Raw genomic sequence first — 15,913 nt, forward strand, 5'->3', positions numbered from 1 at the left:
ACCACATTACATCTAAAACAGATGTTAGTGAAAAGAGCAGCTTACTAACCTATGTGGTTCAATACCCTTTTAATTAAAAAATCTACATATATAAGGGACCGGGCGCAGTGGCTCACGCCTGTAATCCCAGCACTTTGGGAGGCTGAAGCAGGTGAATCACAAGGTCAGGAGATGGAGACCATCCTGGCTAACATGGTGACACCCCACCTCTACTAAAAATACAAAAAAATTAACCAGGCGTGGTGGTGGGCGCCTGTAGTCCCAGCTAGTTGGGAGGCTGAGGCAGGAGACTGGCATGAACCTGGGAGGTGGAGCTTGCAGTAAACTGAGATAGCGCCACTGCACTCCAGCCTGGGCAACAGAGCAAGACTCTGTCTAAAAAAAAAAATACATATATAAATGCAAAATTATCTGGAAGAATATATACGAAAAAATGATTCTCTCTAGACAGTGGGATTGTAGGTGATCTTTGTTTTCCTTGTTTATGTTTCTATATATTTTTTCTGAATTTTATACGTATTTCTTTACTTATCATAAAAAAAAGGTTTTCAAAAGGCAATTGAAATATATAAAATAGGCTCTATAAAAAGCCTAGCTCCCCACATTGGCACATGAGTGTGCTCAAGGGTCAGGGGTGCTGTGCCAGAAGGCAGGAACGCGAGTTTGGAAAGAGCTCCCCCATGATGCCCTTGGACCCCAGGACCCCAGCCTCCGGCATATGATTAAGTACCCCAGGCCCCCCTGAATATTTTACAAATTGTCCTGACAATGTCTGTACTTCCTAACTCCCCTGGGAAGATCTGGGCATTTCTTCCTCCTTGCTCCCAGAATACAAGTCTCCTACCTGTTCTTTCTCAGAACTAGGTTGTCAAATCCTTGCCAGCACGCAGTGTCCCACGTGATGACTATCCTCACATCCATCTGACCAGCCACTCATCTCCTTCCTTGTTCCAGAAATGTATATTATCTCAATTCTTGGCAAGTAAAAGGCATTCAAAAATACTGATAAGGTCATGGGCGAATGAATGAATGCAGAACTCTATTAACTTGGAGAGATATGCATCATGAATTGCTGTGCTTCAGATGGGAACATCTGCTGGAGTGAGGCCACAGAAATCCAGCCAATGAGCTTCCTGTGATGGGGGCTGGCAGGGATGGGTGGGTACCAGCACTGCAGGTCCTCACTGACAATAGCGTTATCCTGACTGTCAGAGAAAGGCAGGAATTGTGCCCTCCCTATCTGATAAGCACTCTCAGGGCAGAGAAAGAAACAAGGGAATCTGGACACCTGGCTAGGATGAACACAAGCCATTTAGAGCTTCTTAATTTCTATAAGGCAGGTGTAGCCCAGGAAATTAAAAGTAAAACTGATATAACTATTTACAATAGCAAAGACATGGAACCAGCCCAAATGACCATCAGTGGTAGACTGGATAAAGAAAATGTGGTACATGTATACCATGGAATACAATGCAACCATAAAAAGGAATGAGATCATGTCCTTTGCAGAGACATGGATAAAGCTGAAAGCCGCCATTCTCAGCAAACTAACACAGGAACAGAAAGCCAAATACCATATGTTCTCACTCATAAGTGGGAGCTGAACAATGAGATAACATGGACACAGGGAGGGGAACAACACACACTGGGGCCTGTTGGGGAATGGGGGGTGAGGGGAGGGAGAGCATCAGGACAAATAGCTAATGCATGTGGGGCTTAAAACCTAGATGATGGGCTGGGCGTGGTGGTTCACGCCTATAATCCCAGCACTTTGGGAGGGTGAGGCGGGCGGATCACGAGGTCAGGAGATCAAGACCATCCTGGCCAACATGGTGAAACCCCGTCTCTACTAAAATACAAAAAATTAGCCAGGCATGGTGGCACACACCTGTAGTCCCAGCTACTCAGGAGGCTCAGGCAGGGGAATAACTTGAACCCAGGAGGCAGAGACTGCAGTAAGCCGAGATCACGCCACTGCACTCCAGCCTGGGCGACATAGCAAGACTCCATTTCAAAAAAAGAGAAAAAGCTATTTTTGGGCCGGGCGCTGTGGCTCACGCCTGTAATCCCAGAACTGTGGGAGGCTGAGGCAGGTGGATCACCTGAGGTCAGGAGTTCAAGACCAGGCTGGCCAACATTGTGAAACCCCGTCTCTACTAAAAATGTAAAAATTAGCCATGTGTGGTGGTGCGCGCCTGTAATCCCAGCTACTTGGGGGGCTGAGACAGGAGAATTGCTTGAACCCTGGAGGCGGAGGTTGCAGTGAGCTGAGCACATGCCACTGCACTCCAGCCTAGGTGACACAGCAAGACTCCATCTCAAAAAACAAACAAACAAAAAAAGCCTATTTTAGGGCCAAGCAAGGTGGCTCACACCTGTAATCCTTCAGGAGGCTGAGGCAGGAGGATTTCTTGAGGTCAGGAGTTTGAGACCCCCCAAAAAAAAGAAGAAAAGAGAAGAGGGGAGGGGAGGGGAGGGGAGAAAGAAAAAACAGAGAAAGAAAGAGAGAGAAAGAAGGAACTACTTTGTGATTACTTTAATATGACCTACTGATCAGAAAACAAAGTTCCCATATAAATCGGGCTGCCCTTGAGTAGCCTAAAAACGGCTGTAGACACTATCATTCCTGTCCCCGTTTTAGGGTTGTGTGGCAGGGCAGGGACTGAAATACACTCTATCAAGTTTACCTCACAGCTCGCTGAATGCCTGTGTGCTCTCTCAAGTTTCCTGAAATGGCATTATCTACAAATGATAATGCCAACATTTTAAAAAATGTTTCCAAAGTAACAATCATGGCTTTATTTTATTATTATTATTATTTTTTGAGACAGGGTCTTGCTCTGTCACCGAGGCTGCAGTGCAGTGGCATGAACACAGCTCACTGCAGTCTCTACCTCCAGGGTTCAAGCGGTCCTCCTATCTCAGCCTCCTGAGTAGCTGAGATCACAGGCACGCGCCACCATGCCCAGCTATTTTTTTTTAATTTTTTGTAGAGATGGAGTCTCACTTATGGCTTGTCCCTTCTTGTAGGCAAAAAGATGATAAATTTTGATCCAGTAGTATCTTTTTCTATCAGTGACTGCTACTGATATTAAACACATTAAATATCCTCCACAAAAGCAATAGCAAAATTCCTCTTCCACACAATGTAATGTGGCTTGCAGAATACATTATTTCATGCTAAATTCCATTGTTACTCTCTTCATCTCTTCAGGTGAATTAAGCATCATCTATGATAACTAGGTAACTCATCTCCTAGAACTATGTTACAGAACATGCCTTCAGGGAGTGATCTAAAACTTCCCTCTTTTCCTCCTGGTCCCTCCCGCATGTCTGGCATAAGCCAGCAATAGCAATAAGGAGAATCCTATCATCTTATCCCTTCTCCTTTTTTTTTTTTTCCTTTTTTTTTTTTTTTGGAGACAGAGTCTCACTCTGTTGCCCAGGCTGGGATGCAGTGGCATGATCTCGACTCACTACAACATCCACCTCCCCGGCTGAAGCGATCCTCCTGCCTTAGCCTCCCTAGTAGCTGGGACTATAGGCACCATACCACCACGCCCGGCTAATTTTTGTATTTTTAGTAGAGATGATATTTCACCATGTTGACCGGGCTGGTCTTGAACTCCTAACCTCAAGTGATCCGCCCACCTCGGCCTCCCAAAGTGTTGGGATTACAGGCATGAGCCACTGCGCCTGGCCGGCAAAATCCTTTTAAAAGAAGAGCCTCAGCCTAGGCTTCATGGATTTCGGGTCCAGGAATATGACAGTTTATGCAAATTCTACACATGGGAATAGCACTTCTCAGGGGAGAGGGTCATAAGCTCCCATCAGATAGGCAAAAGGTATATAAGATGCTCAGGTGGGGCATGGTGGCTCAGGCCTGTAATCCCAGCACTTTGGGAGGCCAAGACCAGTGGATCACTTGAGCCCAGCAGTTTGAGACCAGCCTGAGAAACACTGCAAAACCCCGTCTCTACGAAAAGTACAAAAATTAGGCTGGGCACAGTGGCTCACACCTGTAATCCCAACACTTTGGGAGGCCAAGGTGGGTGGATCACGAGGTCAAGAAATCAAGACCATCCTGGCCAACATGGTGAAACCCCATGTCTACTAAAAATACAAAAAAGGCTGGGCGCGGTGGCTCACACTTGTAATCCCAGCACTTTGGGAGGCCAAGGCAGGCAGATCACGAGATCAAGACCATCCTGGCTAACATGGTGAAACCCCGTCTCTACTAAAAAATACAAAAAAATTAGCTGGGTGTGGTGGCGGGCACCTGTCGTCCCAGCTACTCGGGAGGCTGAGGCAGGAGAATGCTGTGAACCCGGGAGGCGAAGCTTGCAGTGAGCCAAGATCGCGCCACTGCACTCCAGCCTGGGTGACAGAGTGAGACTCCGTCTCAAAAAAAAAAAACACCTAGATGACAGGTTGATAGATGTAGCAAACCATCATGGGACATGTATACCTATGTAACAAACCTGCATGTTCGGCACATGTATGCCAGAACTTAAAGTAAAACTAAAAAAAAAAGTAAAGCTGATATAAACAAGCACACAAATTCGTGCATTCTCGCGAGTATTCTCCTTTAAATCTGTTTCCTTGACAGAATAAATCCAAGAAATCTAGATCTGCTGTACAACGTAGTAGCTATGATCAGTAACAACGTATGACATTCTTGAAAAGTACTGAGAACAGATTTTACGTGTTCTCACCACAAAAAAAATGATAAGTATGTGAAGTAGCACATATGTTAATTAGCTTGATTTAGCCATTCTGTAATGTATACATATTTCAAAACAACATAGTGTATAAAATGTATTCAATTTTTTGTCAATTAAAAAGTTAAGCAATAAATAATAAATTTTAAAAATGTGTCTCCTTGAGAAAGATGGCATTTTTTCTAATGATGTTGGTTATTGCTCAAAATACTTTGACATTTTTTTCTTTGAATCTGTCATCAGAGCCAAATGCACAACATCCTATAATATCTGTCTCATTAATGAGATCTTGAGTTTTTTATACCATTGTACAGTCAAGCTTGATCATCTTTTCCATCAGACAAATCTGTCTTTTAGAAACTTTTCCAGCTCAAATTTGCCCTTAGAGGATGAAGATTTTACTATCACTGGTATTACTAAATGTAAAAATAACAGGCCGGGCGTGGTGGCTCATGCCTGTAATCCCAGCACTTTGGGAGGCCGAGGCGGGCGGATCACTGGAGCCCAGAAGTTCAAGACCAGCCTGGCCAATATGGTGAAACCCCGTCTCTACTAAAAGCATAAAAATTAGCTGGGCATGGTAGCGGGCACCTGGGCAACCAACCCAGGAGGCTGGAACAGGAGAATCGCTTGAACCCAGGAGGCGGAGGCTGCAGTGAGCCGAGATTGTGCCACTGCACTCCAGCCTGGGGACAGAGCAAGACTCCATTTAAAAAAAAAAAAGAATAATAAACTATTTTTATTAATAAGTTATTTCTAATAATAAACCATACATAGGCCAGGTGCAGTGGCTCACACCTGTAATCCCAGCACTTTGGGAGGCTGAGGCAGGCAGATCACACGGTCAGGAGATTGAGACCATCCTGGTTAACACAGTGAAACCCCATCTCTAATAAAAAATACAAAAAATTAGCCAGGCATGGTGGCGGGCGCCTGTAGTCCCAGCTACTCGGGAGGCTGAGGCAGGAGAATGGCGTGAACCCGGGAGGCGGAGCTTGCAGTGAGCCGAGATCACGCCACTGCACTCCAGCCTGGGCAACAGAGTGAGACTGTCTCAAAAAAAATAAAATAAATAAAATTAAATTAAAATAAATAAACCATACATAGTACCTCCCTCCAGGAAAGAAAAAACTGAAGAGTGTTGCACTGTTGTCCTAAGTGTTGATAATAGACTATCGTGTGTCACCATCAATTTCCAACAGAGCAGTCAGAGCAAACCTCTCAGAGCCGAGTCAGATGCTGTCACCGCTCTGCTCCAAACCCCAGCCTGCTACCCCATCCAGAGCAGAAGCCAGTGCACTCTAACAGCCTCCGAGGCCTTCTTCCTGGGTGCCCCATCTCTTCTCAGAACAGCTCCTGCTGGCCTTGAACTCCTGGGCTCCAGCCACACCAGCCCCTGGGTGTTCCTCCCACACATAGGCACAGGGCTTTCCCTTGGTTATCCCTTTAGCCTCCTCATCAAGTCTTTGCTCAAACGTCACTCTCCCATGCAGCGTGCCCGACCACCTTGTGGCTCTCTAGGTCCTCCTGACTCTGTTCCACCTGTTCTCCTTAAATATTTCATAATTCACGGACATATTATCTTCATTATTTATTCTCTGTCTCTCCCTGCTGGAGGGTAAACTCCATGAGGGTGGAAATATTTATCCATTTTGTCGTTGCACCCCAGAACAGCACCCAGCATACAGCACATGCTCAGTAAATTAGTTCAGTGAAGAGCAATTCGGGGCATGCACATCTCCTCCCATGGTGCTGCCTTCAAGGAGACAACATCCATGTGTTGGATGTGCAAGATTCAGAGTACTCATATAAAAACCAGAGTCTCAGTATTTTACACCATTCCTCATAGTAATTCTATCTTTTAAAAATGCTGATAATGGTTTGGTCAAAAGCACACATTGCTTTATAATTCTGTCACTGCTGATGCTTTGTTACAGACCAGCAGCGTGAGCGTATGTTTTAAATGATACACTACATACTGTACTCATAGCTTCATGAGATGGCAAAGGATTGATTACTCCATTTCTTTAGCAGTACTGGCTTGACGGTTATGTCTGCACTATAAAGCACCCTGGGAATGCTCACAGGCACTAATCCCTCATCTCCCCAATCTGGCTTCCTTGATTTCATGCTGTAATAAACTGTAACTCCTTCAACAACCACTCCAGGGGATCATCTGGGCATTTAATGTGCAGTTATGAGCTAATGATACTACACAGAGAGTACTGTGTGCACGCATGCATGTGTTATCAATGTCCTAGCAGTAAAAGTTATTTGAATGTAGCAAAACTGAATTTACCTATTAGTCAATAATTTAGCATCCAAGCAATAAAATCGATCTCTCAAAAATTATCACAATGAATTATACTTTAAAATTAATCTGGTTTTTCACTTTTTTTTTTTTTTTTTTTTTTTTTTTGAGACGGAGTCTCGCTCTGTCGCCAGGCTGGAGCGCAGTGGTGCAATCTCGGCTCACTGCAACCTCCACCTCCTGGGTTGAAGTGATTCTCCTGCCTTAGCTTCCCGAGTAGCTGGTACTACAGGCGCACACTTTTACGCTCGGCTAATTTTTCTATTTTTAGTAGAAACAGGGTTTCACCATGTTGGCCAGGATGGTCTCAATCTCTTGACCTCGTGAGCAGCCCACCTTGGCCTCCCAAAGTGCTGGAATTACAGGTGTGAGCCACCGCGCCAGCCTTGTTTTTTTTTTAAGACGGGGTCTTGCTCTTGTGGCCTAGGCTGGAGTACAATGGCGCGATTTCAGCTCACTGCAATTTCTGCCTCCTGGGTTCAAGTGATTCTCCTGCCTCAGTCTCCCGAGTAGCTGGGATTACAGGCGCCCACCACCAAGCCCAGCTAATTTTTATATTTTTAGTAGAGACTGGGTTTCACCATGTTGGCCAGTCTGGTCTTGAACTCCTGACCTCAGGTGATCCACCTGCCTTGGCCTCCCAAAGTGCTGGGATTACAGGCATGAGCCACCACGTCCGACCTCACATTTCTTTAGTAAAGATATCAAAGTTCATTGTAAGTTTTTAAAAAAGTTATATAAAGCAATTTTTACTTCTAATTTGAATTAAATCCAGGCTGAATTTTCATTCTTAAATATACTGTATAAATATTGAAATGTGTTCAGTCATTTCCAAAGGGATAAAAGGTTTCACAAAGTTTTTTACCTGGATTAGTTGTAATAATGGTTTTTGAGATTACAGTTGCTGTCATGCAGTTCCGAAATTTGTCAAAATTTATTCTTACATCTGAGGCAAATATTACTGTTTGGGAAAAAAGCCATTTAAAATTATTACATGGGAGGATATAAATGACAAATATTGGACACAATCATTGAATGATAATACCTGTTTCTCGTGGCATCCAGCTCTGTGCAAGTAGAATGGATTCATTATCCCAACTGCATTTGTTTAAAAAGAAGTAATACAAATTGAATACACTAGAAAAAACTGATAGTGACATATTATTTACAACAATAAAAGAAAGCTTCAGTGGCTGGGGTCAGCCATCCCCAAGGTGGTCAAAGACCTCCTAGTCTTAAGCATGCCAGCTTCCTCCTAGGGAGAATTTAACAACTCCATGAGAGAACATTCCTTCAACACACACTCTCCTCTAGTAATACTCTGCTCTGCCAATTCTTAATTTATTTTTCCAACACTTAATCACTCCAGGCTAGTTAGAACTAAAGCCTGAAGACTTTAAACTCACACTTTCAGACCATGAAGGTGAGTGTCCCCCAGTGGATAAACTGCTCAGGGGCCTTGATGGGTTGAAGACATTTTTGAAATCAGTTCCTTTGGTACCCAGGCATCAGAGGTCTAGACAATGCCTTGTTGTACCTGGCAGTGCTTCAGGGTGCAGTCCCCACCCTGGCCCACGTGCCCCTGTGTCCTGCCCTGCTCCAGGATACTTCCCAGGAAGCACAGAGGGAAACTCTGGCTTGTTCCATGGGACCTAATAAAACATCATTTGTTACACGACAGAATTCAATAATAAAACTGGGCACGGTGGAGTCCCCCTAAGCAATTCCATGCCATCTAAAGACCTCATTTTAAGGTGGTATCCATAACAACTCAACATTCAAGAGTGAGATTTATTTTTTAAAATATCATTCATCTCCTATCATTATCCTCTCTTGATATGAAGTCCATCATATTTTTGATAAAATGAAAATGTCCTGGTGATAACTACAGGGATTTCACAGTTTGGAACAGACATCGGTGTTTACCATGTCATCGCAAAAGACGACTCTGTTTCATCATAGAGTCTAACTTCACACCTCTGGCCTTTTCTCCGGTCTGAAGTTGTAAAGTATTTTGGCTCTCCAACCTTAGAAATGGAAATAAATCATTACTCTTCACCTATATGTAGAAGTTCTTAAGTATTTGTTGATGAAAATACTCAAATGTTCACCTTTTAAACACCAAATTAGAAATATTAAACTAGCAAGAACCAGTAATATATAGTTGATTATTTTAAAGCATCTATCTCTAAACTACATGTACGTAGCTGAAGTTGTAAGTCACACAACACTTTGAAGAGACACAGGGAGACAGGTGCTTGAAGTAGAGACTGAAAGTCTTTTTAACATGTCACAACAAAGCTCCATGACAGGCCCCTCTGGGGCATCTACGTGGACTCCTCGAGGGCAGGGACTGTGTTTCCAGCACCTTTGTATCCCCATGGCTCAGCGTGGAACTCATGTGACTGAATGAACTCAGGCTCTCTGGGGCTCAGCACCTCCGTCTTCTTAGTGAACATCAAATACAGCATATCTGTGGTATAAAAAGTGTCCACAGGAAACAAACAAATATAGGATATGTCCTTTGCCTTCTCCACAGGGCTACCATGGTGAGAGCCACATGCGAGATACACAGGAAACTTTGACACTGTCCAATTCTGTCCATTGTGGGGTAAGATGATCAAAGAAGTGGAAATCCTCTTGCCCATTAAAGCAAGTTAAAAAAAAAAAAAAAGAAGAGTTGAAACTAGGACCCTTCTCTCCACCCAGTGGCTTCTCATGTGGGAACGGCAGGCACCTCTGAGAGATGCACAGCAGCAGGCCCAGCATGGACAGTCACTGGCCACCCCCACCTCTGCCACCACTGCATCTGTGGTGCCCAGAGAAAGGGACCTAGAAAGGACAGCCAGAGGCTGAGAGGTCAGCCTAACATCTGGGGTTGGGAAGGTGGAGAACACTGTATTAAAAAGGAGTTTTAAAGTGAAACGCCAGTGGGGGTGAGAGGAAGAAACAACAGGTTAAATGAAAGTGTGAAGAGTGGCCGGGAGGGGTGGCTCACGCCTGTAATCCCAGCACTTTGGGAGGCCGAGGTGGGTGAATCACGAGGTCAGGAGTTCAAGACTAGCCTGGCCAATATGGTGAAACCTTGTCTCTACTAAAAATACAAAAATTAGCTGGGCATGGTGGTACACGCCTGTAGTCCTGGCTACTCGGGAGGCTGAGGCAGGAGAATTGCTTGAACCCGGGAGGTGGAGGTTGCAGTGAGCCAAGATCACGCCACTGCACTCTGCACTCCAGCCTGGGTGACAGAGCAAGACTCCATCTCAAAAAGAAAAAAAAAGTATGAAGAAAAGAAAATGTAAGAGGGCTGAAAGCCAAAGGGGAGATGAAAGGCATGAGAAGAAGTGACGTGACACATGAAAGGTTCCAGACTCACTGAGGGGGTGGGAAAGCTGCCGCAGTTTCCTGCTTATACTACTATATTCATTCAGGGTTGTAGACAATTCTTACTTCATTATAAACGTAATAGCACTGTCTAGAATTTGGGGAAATCGCAAACAATTGAGCACTCCTTTGAACAACTGAATAGGATTGAACATAAACTGCCTACAAAGTGACTTCTCCTGTTTTTCAAGATGATCATATAGCGGGCTTATTCCTTCTCCCTAAAGTATACAGATGCTCCCCAGGTGGCAGGCATGTCCTCCACAGCCAGGGCCCTGCCATCTGAAAGGGTCACGTTCTCTCAGTCACCATTTAATATAACAAGCAATTCACATTTACTTACATGAACTATCATAAGCATGTGTGTTTTTTCCTTTTTTTTTTTTTTTGTCTCTTGACTATCATCCCTCTCTATATTAAGAAATTACTCTTGCCTCTTTATTTATTTATTTATCAACCCAGAATCTCGCTCTGTCGCCCAGGCTGGAGTGCAGTGGCGCCATCTCAGCTCATTGCAACCTCTGTCTCCTGGGTTCAAGTAATTCTCCTGCCTCAGCCTCCTGAGTAGCTGGGACTCCAGGTACCTGCCACCATGCCCAGCTAATTTTTTTTTTTTGAGACGGAGTCTCGTTCTGTCGCCCAGACTGGAGGGCAGTGGTACGATCTCGGCTCACTGCAACCTCCACCTTCCAGGTTCAAGTGATTCTCCTGACTCAGCCTCCCAAGTAGCTGGGACTGCAGGAACCTGTCACCATGCCCAGCTAATTTTTTTTTTTTTTTGAGTCGGAGTCTCGCTCTGTCGCCCAGGCTGGAGTGCAGTGGCGCAATCTTGGCTCACTGCAAGCTCTGCCTCCCGGGTTCACGCCATTCTCCTGCCTCAGCCTCCTGAGTAGCTGGGACTACAGGCGCCCACCACCTCACCTGGCTAATTTTTTGTATTTTTAGTAGAGACGGGGTTTCACCGTGTTAGCCAGGATGGTCTCGATCTCCTGACCTCGTGATCCTCCCGCCTCAGCCACCCAAAGTGCTGGGATTACAGGCGTGAGCCACCGCACCAGGCCACCCAGCTAATTTTTGTATTTTTAGTGGCGATGGTGTTTCACCATATTGGCCAGGCTGGTCTCGAACTCCTGACCTTGTGATCCACCCGCCTCAGCCTCCCAAAGTGCTAGGATTACAGGCATGAGCCACCACGCCAGGCCTTTTTTTTTTTTTTTTTTTTTTGAGACAGGGTCTCCCTCTATTGCCCAGGCTGGAGTGCAGTGGCATGATTTTGGCTCACTGCAACCTCAACCTCCCAGGCTCAGGTGATCCTCCCACTTCAGCCTCCCAAGCAGCTGAGATTACAGGTACACACCACCACATCCGGCTAATTTTTGTATTTTTTGTAGAGATGGAGTTTCACCATGTTGCCCCAGGCTGGTCTTGAACTGGGCTCAAGTGATCCCTCTGCCTTGGTCTCCCAAAGTGCTAGGATCACAGGTGTAAGCCACTGTGCCTGGACTAATTTTCATGTACTTTATTTTGTGAAACTTTACCGTTGAGGTCTACATCTCAATCTCCGCCTTGTGGCTCTGGTCTGTCCAACTACAGAGCTCAGAACTTGCTACAGTAATTCAGACAGACGCTGATGCACCAGAAGGGAACACCCCCCTGGTGCCCCACGGAGGGCCATCCTCCCGTGCACCTCACCAGCATGGTCCCACTGCACCTATTAGACCATGGAGCCCTACAGCAGGGCAGCGTGTATTCCCACTCCCTCCCTGGTTGCTGGGCAGCTCTGAGCACAAAGGCACAGAACTGATCCCTTAACTTATTCAACTACGCCCCTTCAAGGAAGGTCATGGAGATTTTCGAGTCAATAAGCTTACCCTTTCCATTTACATCTTTGTTTAAGCAATGTATAAAAAGTTCTCCTATAGTTAGCAGATCATTTACGAGCAGAGTGGAACACTGCATTTAGCATTCAAATACAATTTTATTTTACTACTCATCCACAGATAAAAAGCTAGTTTCCCTTTAATGAGAAGTGTTACTGTTTTCTTAATTCAGCATACTACCAAGATAGAGAAGAAAAGTTACCCCAGCTGATCGTGACCACTCCATCCCAAACACAGATCAAGTGACTGCACCTCCCCTGCCAGATTGCACTTGGCTTTGTCGGGGTTTTAACTTACCGATTTCACAGCTGCAAGCACGTTAATAATCCTCCCATTAAGACTGTGTCCATTTGCAACAATGTCACCCAGTGAATAATAATCATGAGACTCTTTAACAGGTAAATGTATCAAAGAAAGTAACTTTGTGTCCACTTCATAACTGGAACAAACTTTTACTGTTGAGTGATTCTCACTGAGCAACAGTTTACAGTTGCTAAATTGCAAAAACACAAGAAAGTTATTTGAAAGTGATCTTTGGAAAGAAAAATATTTCCAGGTCCACATTTAAACTACATTTTTCATTGAAATTTAGACAATACTAATATATACTTTTTACTCTTAGAAACATTGAATAATACAGCAAAACATTTTTTGTTTACAGTGCACTTTCATTAAGGAAATGTTTTGAGAATTGATTCGTGTCGGGGTTCTAAACATACCATTTGTCTGATCTTGCCCAAGACTCTGCGCTTGTTTCCTTCTCCAAAAAAATAGGAGCAAAAAAGCGCTCTGAAACTTTCAGGGGTTATACAAACCCAAGGACTGGTTGTTTCTCTCTCTTATGGACCTGGCTGTTCTGCCTTAGTGCCTCAGGTCAGGGACTGTGTTTTTCCTACCCCTACTGAGCTCTGCATGGAGCAGACGCAGAACACTGGCACAGTGAGCCCGAACTGAGGAGCTCTCCCTCCTGCACCGAGTCCCTCCCGGCCCTTGCACTCTGTGCCCCAGCAGTCCTCTAACCCAGCCCCACCTCCTCCCCACTGCTCGGCCTCACTTACCTACCTCATCACTTCTCTCCCAAGCCACTGCCTTGCTATCCTAACTAAGCTTCATTCCCCTACAGTCCATCCTCCATAAGCAAAGTGATCTTCCTAAACCACAAATATGAAAATATTATTTCCCAGCTCAAAGACCATCATTGTGGCTACCAGTCACAAAGGAAATAACTCAGTATGAAAGCAAAGCTGTCTGTAAAATATCTCTGCTTCCACCTTAAGCTTCTCCTCCTGCCCGTGCCCTGCATTCCAGCCGTATCAGACTATTACATTATGAAATTGGTATTTCTAGATGAAAAATAGTAAAACATCAGCAGTTTCATATGGCTCAAACTAATATTAACTGTTCTGGAAAAGACAGGAGGTTTCCTGTTTCTTCCCTCTACCAAGAATATTCTCTCCATCTAACCATCCATCCATCACTTCCATGAATACTGAGAATCTGTTATATACCAGACCCTATGCTAGGCACAAGGGATATGGTGGTGAAGAAGGCAGACAAGACCTTTGATCTCATGAGGCTCACATATGTGAGGGGGAGACCCAAGAACAATGAATCAAACAATCTCAGACGGTGACTTGGGTTATGCTGACAAAAGCCAGGGCAAAATCCCAGTAATTGACCATTAGCGCTACCACAAACAGAGTAGATGGGGAAGGTTGAAGAAGATGACATTTAAGCTGTGAGTCAATAACCCAAAGAAGCAAATAGTCAAACAGATGGGAGAAAGTTCTATGCAGAGAGAGAATAGAAAATACAAAAGTTTGGCCAGGCGCGGTGGCTCACGCCTGTAATCCCAGCCCTTTGGGAGGCCGAGGCGGGCGGATCACTTGAGGTCAGGAGTTCGACACCAGCCTGGCCAACATAGCAAAACCCCGCCTCTACTAAAAATACAAAAATTAGCTGGGTGTGGGGCGTGTGCCTGTAATCACAGCTACTTGGGAGGCTGAGGTGGGAGAATGGTTTGAACCCAGGAGTTAGAGGTTACAGTGAGCCGAGATCGTGCCACTGCACTCCAGCCTGGGCAACAGAGTGGGACTCTGTCTCAGTAAAAAATAAAAAATAAAAATAAAAGGAAATACAAACGTTCTTAGTGCAGAATGAGTTCACGGTGTTCATGAAATATAAAGAAATTCACTGTGGCTACAGAGAAATGAGGCTTGAGAGTCTGGCATAAGATGAGGTCAGAAAAGAAGGTGGGAACGGGTCACAGTTGATGCGAGTGTAAATGCTGTAGACTGCTGTGCCCACCAAGAGCCCTTTACAGGCTGGTACAGGGCACAGCTACACCCTTCTCTCCAGAACTGCCAGACCCGCCTTTGAGCTGATGCCCCGCCCCATCCTGCGGGTTTGGGGAGTGGATGGACTACAGCCAGGGCACTGCTCTAAGGGGCCACTCCCACTCCAGAGCTCCCTCCCGGCTCCTGCTGAGGCTCCAGGTGAACCCACTTCTCTGCTCAGCTGCTTCCTGGTCTATCCTCGCAGGGTTCCCCTGAGAGCTCACCCTCAACCAACCACTCCCACAAGAGTCCTCCTCTCAAGCTCTGCTTCGAAGGAATCTGCCCTAAGATGGTAAGCCTGTGAGTAGAAGGATACCTTGACATGAAAAAAGACAGATGTAATTTCCAAAGTTTATCTTTTCTCCTCATTCAGTTTTAACATGACAAAGTCAAATTTTTGTAAATCTAAGAATGAGAATCAAAGTACTAAAACCAAAGCCATTTATCATGTGACTCTGTATCAAAGTAAATTATGTCATAATCAAAGATGAATTTTGTAAGAGAAAATTAAACTCCTCATTTTTATTGAAATAGAAACAGAACACTTTTAGTAAGATCTCTGCTAATCTGATACAACATTATTAGTAATGATCATTCTCGCACAATCTCTGTGCTAGACAGATGCTTACCTAGGAGTTGCAGGGCTGAATTTTTCTTCTCTTTCTATTTCCTTTCTTTGGATCAGAGGATTTTCAATTATCACTAAAACAGAGGGCAAAGTATGATGATATTACAAAACAGTAACAAGATAAACACTAACATCCTAAATAACATCCTGTTTAATTTATGATCATCATCGACTCTAGGCTTTAAAAATTCCTCACCTCATTCATCTTCTCCATCATCAACATATAACATATTTTGATACTGAGATGTCAAAATTGAAATCTTTATCTCCATATGTAACTAATATTCCAGCATTTATTCAAGGGATGTCTATAGCTATACTGGGCCCTATGAAGTTTGTGAAGCTTTCTGCCTTCATAGTCCATATGTTCAATGACCCTATTATTCAACTAGAGAGATACCATACATTGTCCTGAAAGTTAACAATACAAGGCAATATATGATTAGGTTCTAAATAACCGGTATGGGGAGTCAGCTGCTTGAGACCACAGTATTAAAGAGGAGTGTTTTCATTACCTGCATTACTCTTTTCTCTTTTTCTATCGTGAAGAACTAGTATACATGCTTTCTTGTTCCTTTTATGAGGCTAGGGCTCATAAAAGTTATCTGTTGAGTGACTAAGTTCCACACGTTATACTAGGTACACCATCTCAT

At 44.4% G+C, this 15,913-nt stretch overlaps 1 protein-coding gene across 2 annotated transcripts in view; it reads right to left on the reverse strand.

The window, feature by feature from the left end:
- Window positions 1–15,913, reverse strand: part of MEIOB (meiosis specific with OB-fold) — a 38,179-nt gene that overhangs the window by 11,156 nt on the left and 11,110 nt on the right. For both annotated transcript variants that reach the window (NM_152764.3, NM_001163560.3), the window contains exons 5-9: window positions 15,262–15,334; window positions 12,594–12,789; window positions 8,959–9,059; window positions 8,078–8,130; window positions 7,898–7,993 (exon numbers count right to left, since the gene is read on the reverse strand). In NM_152764.3, coding sequence (NP_689977.2) covers window positions 7,898–7,993; window positions 8,078–8,130; window positions 8,959–9,059; window positions 12,594–12,789; window positions 15,262–15,334 — 519 coding nt within the window. The remainder of the gene's footprint in view (window positions 1–7,897; window positions 7,994–8,077; window positions 8,131–8,958; window positions 9,060–12,593; window positions 12,790–15,261; window positions 15,335–15,913) is intronic.

This window comes from Homo sapiens, chromosome 16 (assembly GCF_000001405.40).
Source record: "Homo sapiens chromosome 16, GRCh38.p14 Primary Assembly".
NCBI lineage: Eukaryota > Metazoa > Chordata > Mammalia > Primates > Hominidae > Homo > Homo sapiens.